The sequence below is a fragment of the Homo sapiens genome, chromosome 4, assembly GCF_000001405.40.
Source record: "Homo sapiens chromosome 4, GRCh38.p14 Primary Assembly".
Taxonomy (NCBI): Eukaryota; Metazoa; Chordata; class Mammalia; order Primates; family Hominidae; genus Homo; species Homo sapiens.
The window spans coordinates 86366116-86383433 of NC_000004.12; the positions used below are offsets into that span (position 1 = coordinate 86366116).

At 39.5% G+C, this 17318-nt stretch overlaps 1 protein-coding gene across 7 annotated transcripts in view; it reads right to left on the reverse strand.

The window, feature by feature from the left end:
• The window catches only part of MAPK10 (mitogen-activated protein kinase 10), a 583670-nt gene that overhangs the window by 355711 nt on the left and 210641 nt on the right, over positions 1-17318 (reverse strand). The window contains exon 1 of one of the 7 annotated variants that reach the window (NM_001318068.1): positions 4599-4752. The exons of the other annotated variants lie outside the window; for them this stretch is intronic. The gene's annotated coding sequence lies outside the window, so the exon portion shown is untranslated. Of the gene's footprint in view, positions 1-4598; positions 4753-17318 lie in introns of those variants that run through there. 7 annotated transcript variants of the gene reach the window in all.

Genomic DNA, 17318 nt, shown 5'->3' on the forward strand with positions numbered 1-17318 from the left:
CATGCTGAGTGAGAAATAAGACAAAAAAGAGTATATACTATATATATATGTTTACATGAAGTTTCAGAACAGACAAAACTATTCTATGGAGATAGGAATCAGAGCTGTGTTTGTCTGTGATAGGAGGAGGCAAACAGTCAAGGACCATGTTGATAGCAAGAGGGAAATTTCTATAGTGATGAGAAGGTCCTACATCTTGATAGAGATGTGAGTTATATGGGTATATGCATTCGTCAAAACTCCTCAAAGTGTAATTCTTAAGATCTGTGCATTTCACTCTATGTAAATTAAACTGCCATAAAAAATGTTTAACTAAATTTCCTCTTGGGAAAGAGGAAAATTGCTGAATGAGCCAATAAGTTAGGGTTCCTAAACCTGAATATCTAGTCCCATACCCTGAATCTTGATTTTTCAGACCCAAGCAGCCACAGCAATAGGAAAGGCCAGAGTCACCAGGATGTTAAGAGACCTAACCCTCAGAGTGAGGCAGACAATTGATGGAGATTTACATAGCAATCAACAGATGAGAATTCAGACTCTTAAAAAACAGGTTTTCAGAAAAGCGTGGCAGTAAGGAGATTTCTGGGTTCAGCTGCAGGGACTAATTCAGTGCTAGGACTCGGATGCAGAAGGAAATGAAGGTGCTGAAGAACACTTTCTGAATCCAATTCTCAAGTGAATTAAGGGGGTAGCAGTGAAACCAACTAATGCCCTAAGGTCTCTTGTCAAAAGAGGTCCTGGAGTAGGGTGACCAATTGGTCTCCATTTGCCAGGTACTTCTCAGGTTCTAGCAGGCATTTCTCATGTTCTAACACTTAAAGTCCTACATCATAGGAAATCTCTCAATCCCAGGCAAACTGGAGAAGCTGGCCATCCTATCCTATAATCTAGAATAGACTTGAACCCTCAGATGGAAGTTGAGAGATAGCAACTGTGAAAGAACGAGTTGCAAAAGAAAGAAGTCATGAGTTCCTTAAAAGAGTGATGTCATTAAAGAAGTGTCACCTAGCTATACTTTCAACAGTTAGATTATTATGTCATGAATTAGGATGGTAGCAAGGGGATGGAAAGGGTTTGATAAAAAGCAAGCAAAATTAGCAAAATTATGGAACTGAATCAATAGAACATGCTGACTGATACAATATGAGGGGATGGTGGAGGGTCCACATTTACTCTTTGAGTACCATGTTCACTATGATTTCACAGAATGCCTTCCCTCAGAGTCAGTCATGTATCTTTCATGATACTATTAGAATATAAGATTTCCCCAAGTGTATTCTACTTGGGGAACAGTGGCTTTTTGCAAAAACTATTCCACAGTTCAAAAGTTTCAGAAATGCTGCATATAATAGCTGCCCTTTGGAAAGCCATGTTTTATTACACGTACTACAGTGAGCAGGTCTATGCAAACCTACCCTCAAAGGCCAAGGAAGCTGAGAGGCCAAAGAAAGAGGCTACCACATCCAGTTTCTCAGAAAGAAACATTTAATCCCTGTACCCTCACTTGAGAAAGTATTCTTATGTAGCAAGCATTTGTTTTTTTTTTTGTTTTGTTTTGTTTTTTTTGGTGAAACATGTGCAGCTAGTCCTGTGTCAGACTGTCTTGCAAAACTTGTGACCACTGGGGAAGTTAGATAAACATTTTTATGAGGGATTTTTCTATGCTATAGGCATTGTTTCTTGACCTTGCTGCAGGAACACAGAATCCAGTCGCCAAACATCAGTCATCATTGGCTACTATCCAGTAGCCAAACCCATCTTGGTTCTGCTTCAAGATGGCATTACTCTTGCCATGTGACAGGGTGTTTTCTATATTACATTAATAAATTAAAGGTGCTGAGAAGCCCTGAGGAAAAGAAAACTATTAAAATTTCTCAATATTACTTCTCAAATGCAGTTTTTAATTAATATCTTTTATCATGCTGTTGGAATGGGAAACACAGAGCCCACAGCTTACCATAGTCATAGTGATTGGCAATGCTGCGAATTTAAAACACTAACAGTTCCCAATAAGGGTAAACTTTCTGACCTTTAAACTTCATGTAAGAAAAGGGGTCTACCTTCCACTTACTTTTCTTTTTAACTAATAGACTTTATTTGTAGGGCAGCTTCAAGTTTACAGAAAAATTGAGCAGAAAAGTGTAGAGAATTCCCATATACCCTACTCCCTCCCCATAGTTTCCCCTATTATTAATATCTTGCACTCATGTGATACATTTGTTACAACTGATGAACCAATAATGATACATTATTAACTAAAATCCATGGTTTACATTAGGGTTCATTCTTTGCGTTGTGCATTTCTATGGGTTTTGACAAATGTATAGCATCATGTTGCAATCACTTTTAATTTTTTTCTTGCTCAGGAGTCAATTTTACATTCAGAAAACAATTGTGTTCACATCAAACAAAAGTAGATAAATTGGTCTCCTGAAAGTTCTTCCTAGTGGACAGAGCACTACTATTAGAATTCAACGGTACTTTGAACCAACTGTTATTAAGCTTATAAAAGTACGGGTTTGCTTTTGCTTTTGTTTTGGAATGGGAACCTCCCACAACTAGCAAAATTATGTCCCTTTGTGGTTAAACGTACTTTGATTCCAAATACAAAATATCTGCCACAATAAAAACAGTTCCACACAACTTTTCAGTATCCTAATAGCATTTTTTTTTTGAAAGTCTGAATGTAGTTCACAAATGATAACGGGGGGAGGGAAAGTCTATTGTAAAATAATATCAAAGAAGATTAAGCCTCCTCAGGTAGCAGCAGCTTAAAAAATCTAATTAGTGTATGTGTCTTTTGAACAATGATGCTAATAGAAAACGCCCTTTTCTTAGATCCCAGCAGAAGCTGGTGTGTGAGATAAAGAAAGTTATTCTTGCCAGACATCCTCAGGTTTACTCACACTTCAATCCATACACATCTGTAGCATTTCCAATTTCCCTTATCCTAGAAGCATGAAAAAAGCATGAAGATACCATGGACTACATTTGAGTTTGGTCTGGAAATTCAACTTCCCACTCTGCGGCAATTCCTGCAACCTTTAATGGGGCTATTCTCACCTCTGACCGTAATTTGTCAGCATGGTGCTCAAAAGGCAGTCACTGAGGTAGGCTAAGAAGCAAAATATGAGCCAAACATTGTGTAATTAAATTAAAATAAAAGTTTAATAATTTTTTATAAACAAGTCTGCCATCACTACTTGCTAAAAATTTCTAATATTAAAGAGCTTATTTTTAAACATTTATATGAGAAGACTTTTTCAATCATCTAACTAATTGGTGAATTCTGGGTCTGTCTTATCAAACAATAGTACAAGTAATAGTAATACATGATGATCGTATACAAACACTTAAAAGAGTAATAATCAGAATTAATAATATGAATTTGGTGTATTTAGTCTTACATTTTTAAGCCAAATACTTATCAGCATAAATTTATATGTGTAGCTTATGTCTGGTCTAAAAATCTGCTGGATTTTCAAATCATTAACAAAAAATATTTTCTTAGAGTATCCTAAACATGCTATTTCACCTATATTGCAATGCTACATTTGACAAGGAAACAGGAAAATAAAAATCTGATCTTGAAAATTGTCCAAATTCATGAAAATAGTGCAATGATAATAGTAGTTAAATTCAACATATGCTTTATATGAGTGCAAGATAATTAAAACATTTTTGAGATAATGCATAAATACTTTCAAAGCTTATTAGAAATATGTATAGGCCAGTCTGTGTGACCTGAGCAGATCGCATGGCCTCTTCATTTCCCAATTTAGGCACTGTCATAATAGGGATAATAATATTCACTTCACAGACTTTTCATGAGAAACAAATTAGATAATGTATGTGACAGTGCCTAGCACAACCCTTAGTAGATGACAGTCACTCAATAGATATTGAACATTCTGATTGCAATGAGAGATGTAACCCACACTTAGATTAAAATTTCCTGACATAACGTTGTAAGCTATGAACATTGTCCAATGGCCCAGAAGCATTAATTTTCTGTTGTTTGATAATGTTCTTAAAGTGTATATTCAAAAGGAGATACAGTTGATCATATGCTATTTGGAGGTGTTGAAGCAGCACTATAGAACTAATAATAAACTTGAAGAAATTTGAGCCTATCTGCCAGTCTACACCTGAGATACTATTCAGGACATCAGTGATTCTTACTGGAAATTTCCCAGATAAAATTCAGCCACTTTGTCAGCAAATATTCAGAGACATAGTCTTTCACAAGAAATAGATAACAAATTTAAAAAAAAAATAATTGAGCAAAAATAGTGTCACTGTTAGAGCTGTGTGACATTCTTTTCATTTAATTAAAAATTAATTCAACCAGCAAATCACTGAGTAGCATATCAGTATAAAACTCTATGCTAGAGATTAGAAAAAGAAATCTGAGAAATGGTCACCATCAAAAAGGAGTTTGTGATCTTATTGTTAGACTGGACCACTTGAAAGAAAAAATATCTATAAATGAATCCCTACACGTGAAACAAAAAAAAAATGAAGTCTCCTGTTTGAAAAGGAAAAACCTCAACACAGTCATGCAAGTAGAAAATATGGATCTCAAATCCTGTATTTACCTTGGGAAGAAGCATAGTCAAATAAAAATGGAAACCTTAGTCTCAGTTCCACTGTGACTATGACTACCCATCAGATGTTGGGCAGATAGTGGCTCTGTCGACATGTTTCTTCATCTACAATGTATCAGGTCTAGATCACATGATAATTATGGTTCTGTAACAAAATGGAAAAGAGAGTCTTCAGATGACTCAATGAACAGAATTTAGACAGAGATTTCATAAGAATAGACTTAAAAGTGACGGAAAACATATCTTGTTTGGATGAGAGTAAAGAGATCACTTTCCTAGTTAAAACAAGAAGGAAAGCAGTGGAATATCTTCAACTATATTGTCTTCTAGGCAAAATATACAAACCAAACATTTACATTGCAAATTAAAACATAAGGCAATGAGAATAGGATTCACTGCTAAAGTCAGTTCTGGCTTTTTGAGTCATTTAACAAATACTACCTTATGATAAGTCAAAGTCGCTATCATTTTTATCATTATTATCACAAATGTCATCATTAATATCATCATTATTTTAGCTATTATCTGTTGAAAGCATCCTCTGTGCCATCACTGGCTGATGATTTACAGACATTTGCTCTAGTCACACAGCATTTCTTGATGATTATCTCTAACATCTATCAACCATCCACAGTGTGCCTGGGCCCATGTTACAATACAATCCTCACTACTGTATCATAAGGTAGGTAGAGTTATTGTCCTTATTTTATATACAAGAAAACGGAGACTTAGAGAGAGTTTAAGTCATTTATTCAGGATCACAAATGACCGCCATGGGTCAGTATTGACATCTGTGCATATCTAACTGAAATTTCAACTTTCAGAGAGGTTAAGAAAAAAATGCGAGTGAACTCAATGATAAGGTGGCAAGATGGCCGAATAGGAACAGCTCTGGTCTGCAGCTCCCAGCGAGATCAATACAGCATGCAGGTGATTTCTGCATTTCCAACTGAGGTACCGGGCTCATCTCACTGGGATTGGTTACACAGTGGGTGCAGCCCACGGAGGGCAGACCAAAGCAGGGTGGGGCATCGCCTCACTTGGAAGCACAAGGGGTCAGGGAACTCTTTCCCATAGCCAAGAGAAGCCATAAGAGAACAAGAGAACATGCCATGAGGAACGGTGCATTCCAGCACAGATAATATGCTTTTCCCAGTCTTTTCAACCCACAGACCTACAAAGAGACTTAGACTCCCACACAATAATAGTGGGAGACTTTAACACCCCACTGTCAATATTAGACAGATCAATGAGACAGAAGGTTAACAAGAATATTCAGGACTTGAACTCAGCTCTGCACCAAGTGGACCTAATAGACATCTACAGAACTCTCCACCCCCAAATCAAAAGAATATACATTCTTCTCAGCACCACATGATACTTATTCTAAAACCAACCACATAATTGTAAGTAAAACACTCCTCAACAAATGCAAAAGAATGGAAATCATAACAAACAGTCTCTCAGACCACAGTGCAATCAAATTAGAACTCAGGATTAAGAAACTCACTCAAGGGCAGGCACAGTGGCTCACGCCAGTAATCCCAGCTCTTTGGGAAGCTGAGGTGGGCAGATCACGAGGTCAGGAGATCGAGACCATCTTAGTCAACATGGTGAAACCCTGTCTTTACTAAAATACAAAAAATTAGCTGGGCGTGGTGGTGTGTGCCTGTAAACCCAGCTACTTGGGAGGCTGAGGCAGAGGAATCTCTTGAACCCAGGAGGCGGAGGTTGCAGCGAGCTGAGATGACACCACTGCACTCCAGACTGGCGACAGAGTAAGACTCCATCTCAAACAAAAGAAAGAAAGAAAGAAAGAAAGAAAGAAAGAAAGAAAGAAAGAAAGAAAAGAAAAGAAAAGAAAAGAAAAGAAAAGGAAAGAAACTCACTCAAAACTTCACAACTACATGGAAACTGAACTACCTTCTCCTGAATGACTACTGGGTAAATAACAAAATTAAGGCAGAAATAAATAAGTTCTTTGAAACCAATGAGAACAAAGACACAACATACCAGAATCTCTGGGACACAGCTAAAGCAGTGTTTAGAGGGAAATTTATAGCACTAAATGCCCACATCAGAAGGTGGGAAAGATCTAAAACCAACACCCTAACATCACAATTAAAAGAACTAGAGAAGCAAGAGCAAACAAATTCAAAAGGTAGCAGATGACAAGAAATAACAGCTTTAAATTTCATGTGGAACCAAAAAAGAGTTCATATAGCCAAGACAATCCTAAGCAAAAAGAACAATGCTGGAGGCATCATGCTACCTGACTTCAAACTATACTACAAGGCTACAGTAACCAAAATGGCATGGTAGTGGTACCAAAACAGATATATAGACCAATGGAACAGAACAGAGGCCACAGAAATAATGCCACACATTTACAATCATCTGAGTTTCAACAAACCTCACAAAAATAAGCAAAGGGGAAAGGATTCCCTATTTAATAAACGACGTTGGGAAAACTGGCTAGCCATATGCAGAAAACTGAAACTGGACCCCTTCCTTACACCTTATACAAAAATTAACTCAAGATGGATTAAAGACTTAAACATAAGACCTAAAACCATAAAAACCTTAGAAGAAAACCTAGGCAATACCATTCAGGACATAGGCATGGACAAAGACTTCATGACTAAAACACCAAAAGCAATAGCAACAAAAACCAAAACTGACAAATGGGATCTAATTAAACTAAAGAGCTTCTGCACAGCAAAAGAAGCTATCATCAGAGTGAACAGGCAACCTACAGAATGGGAGACAATTTTTGCACTCTATCCATCTGACAAAGGACTAATATCCTGAATCTACAAGGAACTGAAACAAATTTACAAGAAAAAACAACCCCATCAAAAAGTGGGTGAAGGATATGAACAGATACTTCTCAAAAGAAGACATTTATGCAGCCAACAAACATATGAAAAAAAGTTCATCATCACTAGTCATTAGAGAAATGCAAATCAAAACCACAATGAGATACCATCTCAAGCCAGTTAGAATGGTGATCATGAGAAAGTCAGGAAACAACAGATGCTGGAGATGATGTGGAGAAATAGGAACGCTTTTCCACTGTTGATGGGAGTGTAAATTACTGCAACCATTGTGGAAGACAGTGTGGCGATTCCTCAAGGATCTAGAACCAGAAATACCATTTGACAGAGCAATCCCATTATTGAGTATATACCCAAAGGATTATAAATCATTCTACTATAAAGACACATGCACACGTATGTTTATTGCAGCACTGTTCACAACAGCAAAGACTTGGAACCAATCCAAATGACCATCAATAACAGACTGGATAAAGAAAATGTGGCACATATACACCATGGAATACTATGCAGCCAGAAAAAAAAGGATGAGCTCATGTCCTTTGCAGGGACATGGATGAAGCTGGAAACCATCATTCTCAGCAAACTAACACAGGAACAGAAAACCAAACACCGCATGTTCTCACTCATAAGTGGGAGTTGAACAATGAGAATACATGGACACAGGGAGGAGAATATCACACACCAGGGCCTGTTGGGGGTGGGGGACTAGGGGAGGGATAGCATTGGGAGAAATACCTAATGTAGATGATGGGTTGATGGGTACAACAAACCTCCATGGCACATGTATACCTATGTAACAAACCTGCACGTTCTGCACATGTATCCCAGAACTTAAAGCATAATAAAAAAAAAATTTTTAAAAAGATGTATCCCTCATTAGAAGGTCTTTGCACACACTCAGAACGGGAGCACTAAATCACTGTCCAATCATTATTGTCCTGTGTGGAGCCTATGGAAAGGTGGCAGTCAGAGCAGCTATGACCTTGTAAGCTGAAGCAGAGAAATCCCCAAAAAGAAAAGGCAGAAGAAGCCCTTCAAGGATGTGGCATACACAGCTTTTTAAAAATGTGACATGGCTGTGAACTGCTGAGAAACAGCAGCTAATAGGACACCTGATGTTCCGCTATAAGGAATGTGACTTCTCCTTTTTGAGCACAGGCTCTTTAGGCCAACCGTGAATTTAAGAGACAAATTCTGAGTTTCTTCAAATAGCTACAGTCCCTAAACTGAAATCCCCATTCATATACACAACGTAGAAGGAATATTGGTAGTAGTCTTTTCAAACACTGATGTACGCTCTGATTGAAGACGTCATCTATAGAAATGAAATACAATGATATTATGAATGCATGTGTACATGCACAAACAAGCACACGTGTTCATCCAGTTAACAAATATTCATTGAATTCATCTACTCTACATGATCAAGACAAAAACGTGTTCGGATATTGCTTCTGCTCTTTCATGGAGCTCAATGATTTTTAGACACAGACATGAATGATTATAATGCGAGGGATTTTTAAATTGCTAAATCATTACAGTGATGGGAATAAAGCAATGAATACTTGGAAAAAAGAGATTATTTCTATCTGGGGTGATCAGAGTGCTCAGAAATGTGTGCACACACACACATACACACACATATCATAGTCAGCAATATATTTTGTGAGAAATGTCTAGAAACGTACAAAAGGAACCAGCCAATGGTAATGAAGAGACTGTTAACCAAAGATCTACAATACAAATAGAAAAATGAGCCAGGTTACTCACTACCACAAGTAACACCAAGAACTTGCAAGAGCTTGCAGTGATGAATTTGGAATAGACAAACTAGAAGTGAAGTTCAACTACCAAAACTTATAAAAATTAAATGAAGGGCCAGGTGCAGTGGCTCACACCTGTAATCCCAGCACTTTGGGGTGCCAAGGCAGGTGGATAGCTTGAGCCCAAGAGTTCAAGACAAGTCTGGACAACATGGCAAAACCTCGTCTCTACAGAAAATATTAGCTGGGCATAGTGGCATGCACCTGTGGTCCCAGCTACTTGGAAGGTAGGGATGAGAGAATCACTTGAGCCCAGGAGGTCAAGGCTGCAGTGAGCCATGAGCATTCCACTGCACTCCAGCTAGGGTGACAGAGCAAGGTCCACTCTAAAAAAAAAAAAAAAAAAAAAAAAAAAAAATTAAATGGAAAGAAGATTCTGTTTCTAATAAATATAACAGTCAAATAGAAAACACTCTCTCAATCAATAAAGCAAGTACCTCCTTCCCTTATGTGTGAACCTCATACAACTTTCTGTAATGAACTCTGTGAACTCATTGTTATTCTAATGAAGTGGATATGTAAGTATAAATTAATTCTCTCAGTTCCACATGTTTAACACTAAATAACTGAGTGTCTACTAGGTGCAGGATTGTGCTATGGTCTTTAACATTTGTTTACCTATTCTGGGTATTATCTCATTCTACCATTAAATATTATTCACACTCAGTTTGTAGGAAAAATTGAGATATGCCAACTAAAACTTCAGCAATCTTTCAATAACATCACTTGCTTCTAACATAAAGGAAGGTATTCCATTTTTCCCCTTATTAGAGCATCTCAAGGCTTATCTTTGAGTTTAGTAAGGTACTACTAAATAATAAACAGCACTTATCTTTTCTTCTCCCCACTCAAAAGCTTGTCAGAATATATTCCAGAATATCAAAAACAAAACATAGCAAGCCTAAGTAAGTCCTTATTTTAGCTAAGTGAATAACATGCTGGTAATTCTGATTTTTAATAGATGGAAATGTACACATCATGAAATTAAGGCCAAAGACTAAGTAAACACTGTAAAACCCATAAAAAGTTTCCTAAAATCTGGAGACTCCAATTCACTATATTAAGACATCACAAGAAAGAAACTGTGAATTACAGATGGTTCAAAATTTTTGTCAAAATAACACATTTAAGTTGGTTGTTGAATAAAGGTTATGGTCTCTGCTTAGACTGAGAGCTTGCTGAAATTATGTCTCAGGCATAACATCCTCCCTAATAGTTAACATAGTGCTTGGTAGAAAAATAGGAAGAAACCATATTTATTAAGGACGTATATAATTAATCATATCCATTCTATGATAGTTGCCTAAGTTTTCCTAGCATTAGACATGAGAAACAACCATTCACTTTCCCAAAGCTAAATCGAGTCTCTTAAATAAATATTTTGAAGAAGAACACATTCTGACATGTCTTTTGAAACTAAAGAAAACAATTCAAATTCAATTTAACCTATTTCTACATTCCTAAATGAAACCACTAAAGAGAAATTTATTCCAGTCTAAACTTTGCAATCACAGAAGAAAAACCTCTGTGGGGAAGTCTCCCCATGGATCCCTCCTGGCCCTTGTTGGGCATCCCTGCTCCAGAGTAGCCCATCAGAGTCAGTGAAGCACAATGGCTTTACAAGCAGGCAGCCATTTCCAAGGCTGAGTGTGCAACATGTCATTCATAAGTAAAGCCCTCAGGCTCATCCAAATTCTACAGCAGCCAGTCATTCCCTGTGAGGTCGCTATCTTAAGGAGATTAAAGAAGTCTTTCATGAAGTCTTGCCAGTGCTTAAGATTGTCATTGTCTCATCAGATTAACACTAGCACTCTGATGTAAAAGACATCCAGGTTCTCTGTGGTTTAAGGCAATTCTTTTGCAGGAATCTCTGAGGATAGGTGGCCACAGCTATAGCAGCTTCCAGTACAGCTCTACTGCCCAACTACCAGAAGACCTGGAGTTCCAGAAGAAAAGGTGATTCTCATGATTCTCCAAGTGCTGCAGAGAAGCTGACCTGGCAATGATAATGGCACTTCTACTGTGCCTCTGCAGTCAGGAGTTTCCCAGTCCAGCTGCAGGCCTTGGTGAAGGAGAAGAGCCAGAAGGGCTGTATAATCTCAAATCTTACTTGGAGTGGGGAGTACCTCCCTCATTAGAGTGTAAGTTTCATGAGAGCAGGGACCTTTCTATTTATGTCTATATCCACCATACCCAGAAGAGTTCATAGTAAAAATTCAATACATTTTTGTTGAATCAAAGAATACTGAATGAATCGGTGAATCACTAAAGCAGTCAAGAATGAACAATATTAGGAATAAACATTTTTAAGTCTCTCAGCTTGTGCTCTTCCTCCTCTATAGTCTATTCTCAGAGCAGCTATATTAGTCAGGGTTCTCTAGAGGGACAGAACTAATGGAATATATATATTATATAGTCCGAGTTCCAAAATTAAAGAACTTGGAGTCCGATGTTCGAGGGCAGGAAGCATCCAGCACAAGAGAAAGATACAGGATGGGAGGCTAGGCCAGTCTCTCCTTTCACATTTTTCTGCCTGCTTATATTCTAGCTGCTCTGGCAGCTGATTAGATTGTGCCCACCCAGATTAAGGGTGGGTCTGCCTTTCCCAACCCACTGACTCAAATGTTAATCTCCTTGGCAACACTCTCACAGACACACCCAGGATCAATACTTTGTATCCTTCAATCCAATCAAGTTGACACTCAGTATTAACCATCACAGCAGCCATGTGATAACTTATATTACACCATGTCTCTTCCCTATGCAATACCCCACAATGGCTGACAACACACTGGGAATAAAATGTAAATTCCTTATCATAGCCTGCCAGGCCCCACATGCTCCAACTCCTAGCTCCTTCTCTCCCTCACTGGCCTCTTTGTAGTTTCTCAGACAAGTCAAGAATGCTTCCACCTCATGGCTTTTGCACTTGCTGATCCTCCTGTCTGCAACTCTCTTCCTTAACGTGTGCATTATTCACACTTCAGTTCATTCGGAACTCACTGAACTCTGGAGAGGACTTTTTGACAAGCCTGTCTAAAATAGTACCCCACATCACCTCTATCCCTTACTCACTGGCTGTTTTTCTTTACAGCAGTTACTCTTTTCGACATATTAAATGTTGATATGTTCATTTTCTGTCTCCCCCTCTAAAATGTGTGAGGATGAGGATGATATTTTGTTTATCAGTGGATCCTCAGCACCTGGGCAAATGCCCAAAATATACTAGAGTACATTATGTAAAAATTTGGTGAATGATTGAATGCAACAATCTTACAAATTTGCTCTGACATCCTTGAAAATTCCACAAAGCGAAGATATCATTCAGTCACTGAACAGTTATCTGGTACTGCTTTTGTACCTGGCACTGGATAGGCCTTGGGAGAGGCACGGGAGAGAGTCACATAAATCCCTCATGGACCCAGCCCTTAAGAAGACTAGGGCAGGCTTTAAACATGTTCCATGAATTGCTACAGGCAATATACAAACTGTAAAGAGAAATAAGGAGGAAACAGTTCTACCTGAGGGTGAGAAAGGCTTCATGGAAGAATTGAAATGTAGGCCTGAAATAACTTTCCATAAGGAAGTGGCGGCATATGCTCAAGGGAGCATGGAACAGTCTGGTGGGATGAGGTAAGGAAATGTAGGTAAGTATGGTCACAGCACAAAAAGCACAGGGCTCCAAGAGCAGCAGTGCATGTGTGGTGAGAGCTGAGGCTTCATGGGAAAGTGAGAAACTGATTATTGTTTATTTCCCATGTTAAGGATCTGGAACTTTATTCTGCAGCCCAACGAATCCTCCTTAAGTCCCGGCCTAGCAGGATCATTACTACTTTAAGGTCTGAAAGGGACGAAACGTCCATCTCCATCTGCGTGCATCACAACTTTACTACCAGCATTTCTATATTGTAGAAATCATTTTGCATGTGAATAATGCCTAAAAGGGAACACAAAAACAGGAAAACAATTTGATTCACTGGGAATTGGAGCTTTGGGGGTTTCCTTTTTGTTACTGAACTTCTTTTCTGTTGGGAATAGGCCCCCAAAATCTCGCCATAAACTGGCCCCAAAACTAGCCATAAACAAAATCTCTGCAGCACTGTGACATGTTTGTGATGGCCATGACGCCCACGCTGGAAGGTTGTGGGTTTACCGGAATGAGGGCAAGGAACACCTGGCCCACCCAGGGAGGAAAACCGCTTAAAGGCATTCTTAAACCACAAACAATAGAATGAGCCATCTGTGCCTTAAGGATGTGCTCCTGCTGCGGATAACTAGCCAGAGCTCATCCCTTTATTTCAGCCCATTCCTTTGTTTCCTGTAAGGAATACTTTTAGTTAATCTATAATCTATAGAAACAATGCTTATCACTGGCTTGCTGTCAATAAATACATGGGTAAATCTCTGTTCGAGGCTCTCAGCTCTGAAGGCTGTGAGACCCCTGATTTCCCACTCCACACCTCTATATTTTTGTGTGTGTGTCTTTAATTCCTCTAGCACCGCTGGGTTAGGGTATCCCTGACCGAGCTGGTCTTGCACTTTTCATTTCCTATTAAAACCTGGTTTTCGGCAGGGCGCAGTGGCTCATGCCTGTAATCCCAGCACTTTGGGAGGCTGAGAAGGGTGGATCACCTGAGGTCAGGAGTTTGAGACCAGCCTGGCCAAACATGGTGAAACCCCCTCTAAAAAAATTAGCCAGGCATGGTGGTGCCTATAATCCCAGCTACTCAGGAGGCTGAGGCAGGAGAATCACTTGAATCTGGGAGGCAGAGGTTGTGGTGGGCCAAGATTGCACCATTGCATTCCAGCCTGGGTGACAAGAGTGAAACTCTGTCTAAAAAAAGAACAAAAACAAACAAACAAAAAAAACCCCCCCAAAAAAACCTGTTTGTCTCAGCCTCTGTCATATGTTGGACTATGGTCTCCAGGTTTACAGTTGCCACCCTCTTTGCAGGTCTGATTTCCCTGACATCAGCACTCCTCTGGAGATACAGTTTCACAATTATTTGTTGACTTTGCTTGGAGTAATTAAGCCCTAAATTCTGCCTTTGCACAAGCCTTAACACAGTGAATAGGTCAATTATAGATAAGGACTGCCACTGACAAACAAGCTTTTCTGACCATTTTAGCCCTGAGCTTCAGGCCTTCTGGTTATCAGTTTTCCAATCACCAACCTTTAGGGCATTCATCTAGCCTACTTGTTTTCAATGTTTTTAAATAAAAACCTTTTTTCTTTTCCTCAAAACAATCTCACAGAGTCCAGTGTATAAAATCTGTAAAGCAATGTTTTATTAATGATAAATACATTATGCATGTTTACATTTGTACCATTCTTTTATAGTGAAAGTGAAGAATGAACACAATGTGGCTATTTGGATGAGCCAGACATTTTCAATCCTGACTTATGGGTGACAGTTGTGGTTCTGTCATTCCCAGAATAAAATTTGTTTCTGTACTTTTTGTTGGAAAGCATTAAAAAAAAAAAAAAAACACTGGATCTAGTTCATACATCCTGCATTTAAAAAAGAAAAAGAGAGACTGAGAGACCGAAGCAGAGCTGGGAACTGTCTAATAGACGCCTCATTTGTAACAACCCTCAGTAGGTTGAGGTTGCAAACTCATTGTTCTAGACTCTAGAGTCAGGAGCCAAATCCAGTTCAGTTCACAGTGCATGTGTTTTCATTAGTGTCACTGTTTAAAAATTGAAAATTTTCATGTAAGAATCTGGAGACTTGTCTTCTCTTGGAATCTTTGAGGATCTGGCAGTACTGGGGCCACATTCCAACCTGGTAATGGCTTTAGGCCTGAAAGAAGCTGTTTGCCCTTTCCAGATGGCCTTACACATGCATGCCTCCCCTTCACTACCCTCCTGGCCTTGTAACATGGAAGTTTGTGTTTCCCAAACTACAAGTCCAAAGGCAATGGGAGACACGTGTTTGCCTTCTCTCTGGCTCCATCAACCCTAATCCAAACCACCATCAGGCTCTCCACAGACTGCTGCAGTAACCTTCTAATATTCACACTGTAGGGCTGCTCTCCTTGTGCAGGTCCCGGGCCTATTTACCCTCAGATCCATCCTTGCCCTTCACTGACTCCTGGGACCTGCATTTTCAGACACTCATGTTAGCTGTCTCTCAACTGGCTTCAGCCAATGGAAGGCACTGCAGGATACTGGAAGGCAGGAGAAAGGAAGAAGCCAAGGTATTCGTGTCCCTGCCTCTCTGCCTTATGTGGTGTCTCTGGCAGGAGCAGTCTCTCTCCCCTGGCTCCGCTTGTGGAGTCCCCACACAGGCTGTCTTCTGCCAGAACACACTTGCATCACTCAGGGTCCCAACAAGAAACAGATGGCATAGTTTAAAAGGATAATTTGAGGTGCATTTATTTACACAGGGACGGTTTACAAACATGTGGGTATAGAGGAATCACAGTGGATAGTGCTTAACACTCCTAGACCCAACAAGGAGTGAGTCCAGAAGAGTCACCCGTTTTGTGAGGAGGGGGCACATTCAGGCAAGAGATGCAGTCAACTGAGGCTAACTCTATGGGGCAGGAATGGGAGAATAAAACCCTTGACATTGTTTTTCCTCCCTCCTCAGGGTTTCTCTACAGTGGCGCTATTGACATTCGGAGCCAATAATTCCTTGTATTGGGACAGGGCTATCCTGAGCACTGTAGAATGTTTAGCAAGAAGCATCCTGGCCTCTGTCAGCTAGATGCCTCCCAGTTATGACAATGAAAAATGTCTCCAGACTCTGCCAAATGTCCCTGGGGTGCAAAATAACCCCTAGGTGAGGACCACTGAGATACAACCACCTGCTGTAGTCCATTTAGATCAGCCTCAGAGCAGAGAGACGAATGGAGGGAGGTGGAAAGTGGATTCGGAGAGGCATAACTCCTTACCCCACACTGACCTGGCACTGACCCCCCACTCAGTCTTCAGACCTCAGGATTACCTGGAACCTTCTCAGAGCACCCTTGCCTGGCCAGCCCCACATGACTTGTTAAATTAAGCTTTTACTTATTATTCTAATTGTACCCTATTGCTTTCCCTCAGACCTTATCACAGTTTGTGATTATCTATTTTATGTGTCTGTTTATGTTTAATAGCTCTCTCACCTGTGGACCGAAAAGCATTTGCGGATATGGGCTGTGACTGCTTGTTCACCTAGATGCTAGCCCAGTGCCTGGCATAAAGTCGGAGCGCAATAAACACATGGTGTGTAACTAAATTAAGAATGAATGTATTCACTTGCAGCAACTATGGCAGTATATAGTCTTTGGGTTACTAACCAAAGATGGCCATACATTTCTTTGAGAGTATGATCTTTTTGATTCCCATCCTGCACCTCACATTCCTGTCATGGTGATTCTGCTGCTCATGAATGTTAGAGAACCTCTGTTTTTCTGTTTCTCAGTAGTGTCAGAGAGCCACTGTTTTAGTTCAACGTGACAGGCAGTGGAGTATTAAGAGCAGGGATCCAGAGACAAATCCTTGGGTTCACATCACTGCTTCTTCTACTCTTGACTTGCTGTGTGACCTTGAGTGAGCTGTCTAACCTCTCTTTATTTTCCTCATCAGTAGAATAAGAATAATGAAACTACATATCTCATAAAATTAGTACAAATAGTAAATTGAGTTAAGAATTTTTAAGCACTTAGAAGATCCTCATTCTGCATAGTGTAAGAACTATATAAGTAAATGTTAAATAAAATAAATGTTAAATAAAATAAATGTAATCTCAGGCAAACATTAGGCTTCCTTCCCATGAAGTCTTGTTCTTTTATTTCCCTTCCCTTTGGTGGCTATAAGACTGGAAAAGTCCAAGCTCTTTACAGTAAACTTCTCCCTAAGAGGTGTTGAGTATTTAGTCTAGACTATGCAGCCCACAAGCAGCAAATCCTTTAGCCCTTCAATGGTGCCTCTGGGCTGTGTGACTGGGGCAAGTTTATGTCAGGATCTGTCCGCCTGTTAAGCAAGCTTTCCACAGTCAAGGGTAGAATGTAACCTGTTCTACTCATTTACCCTTTGAGCTCTTCTTTTTCCATTT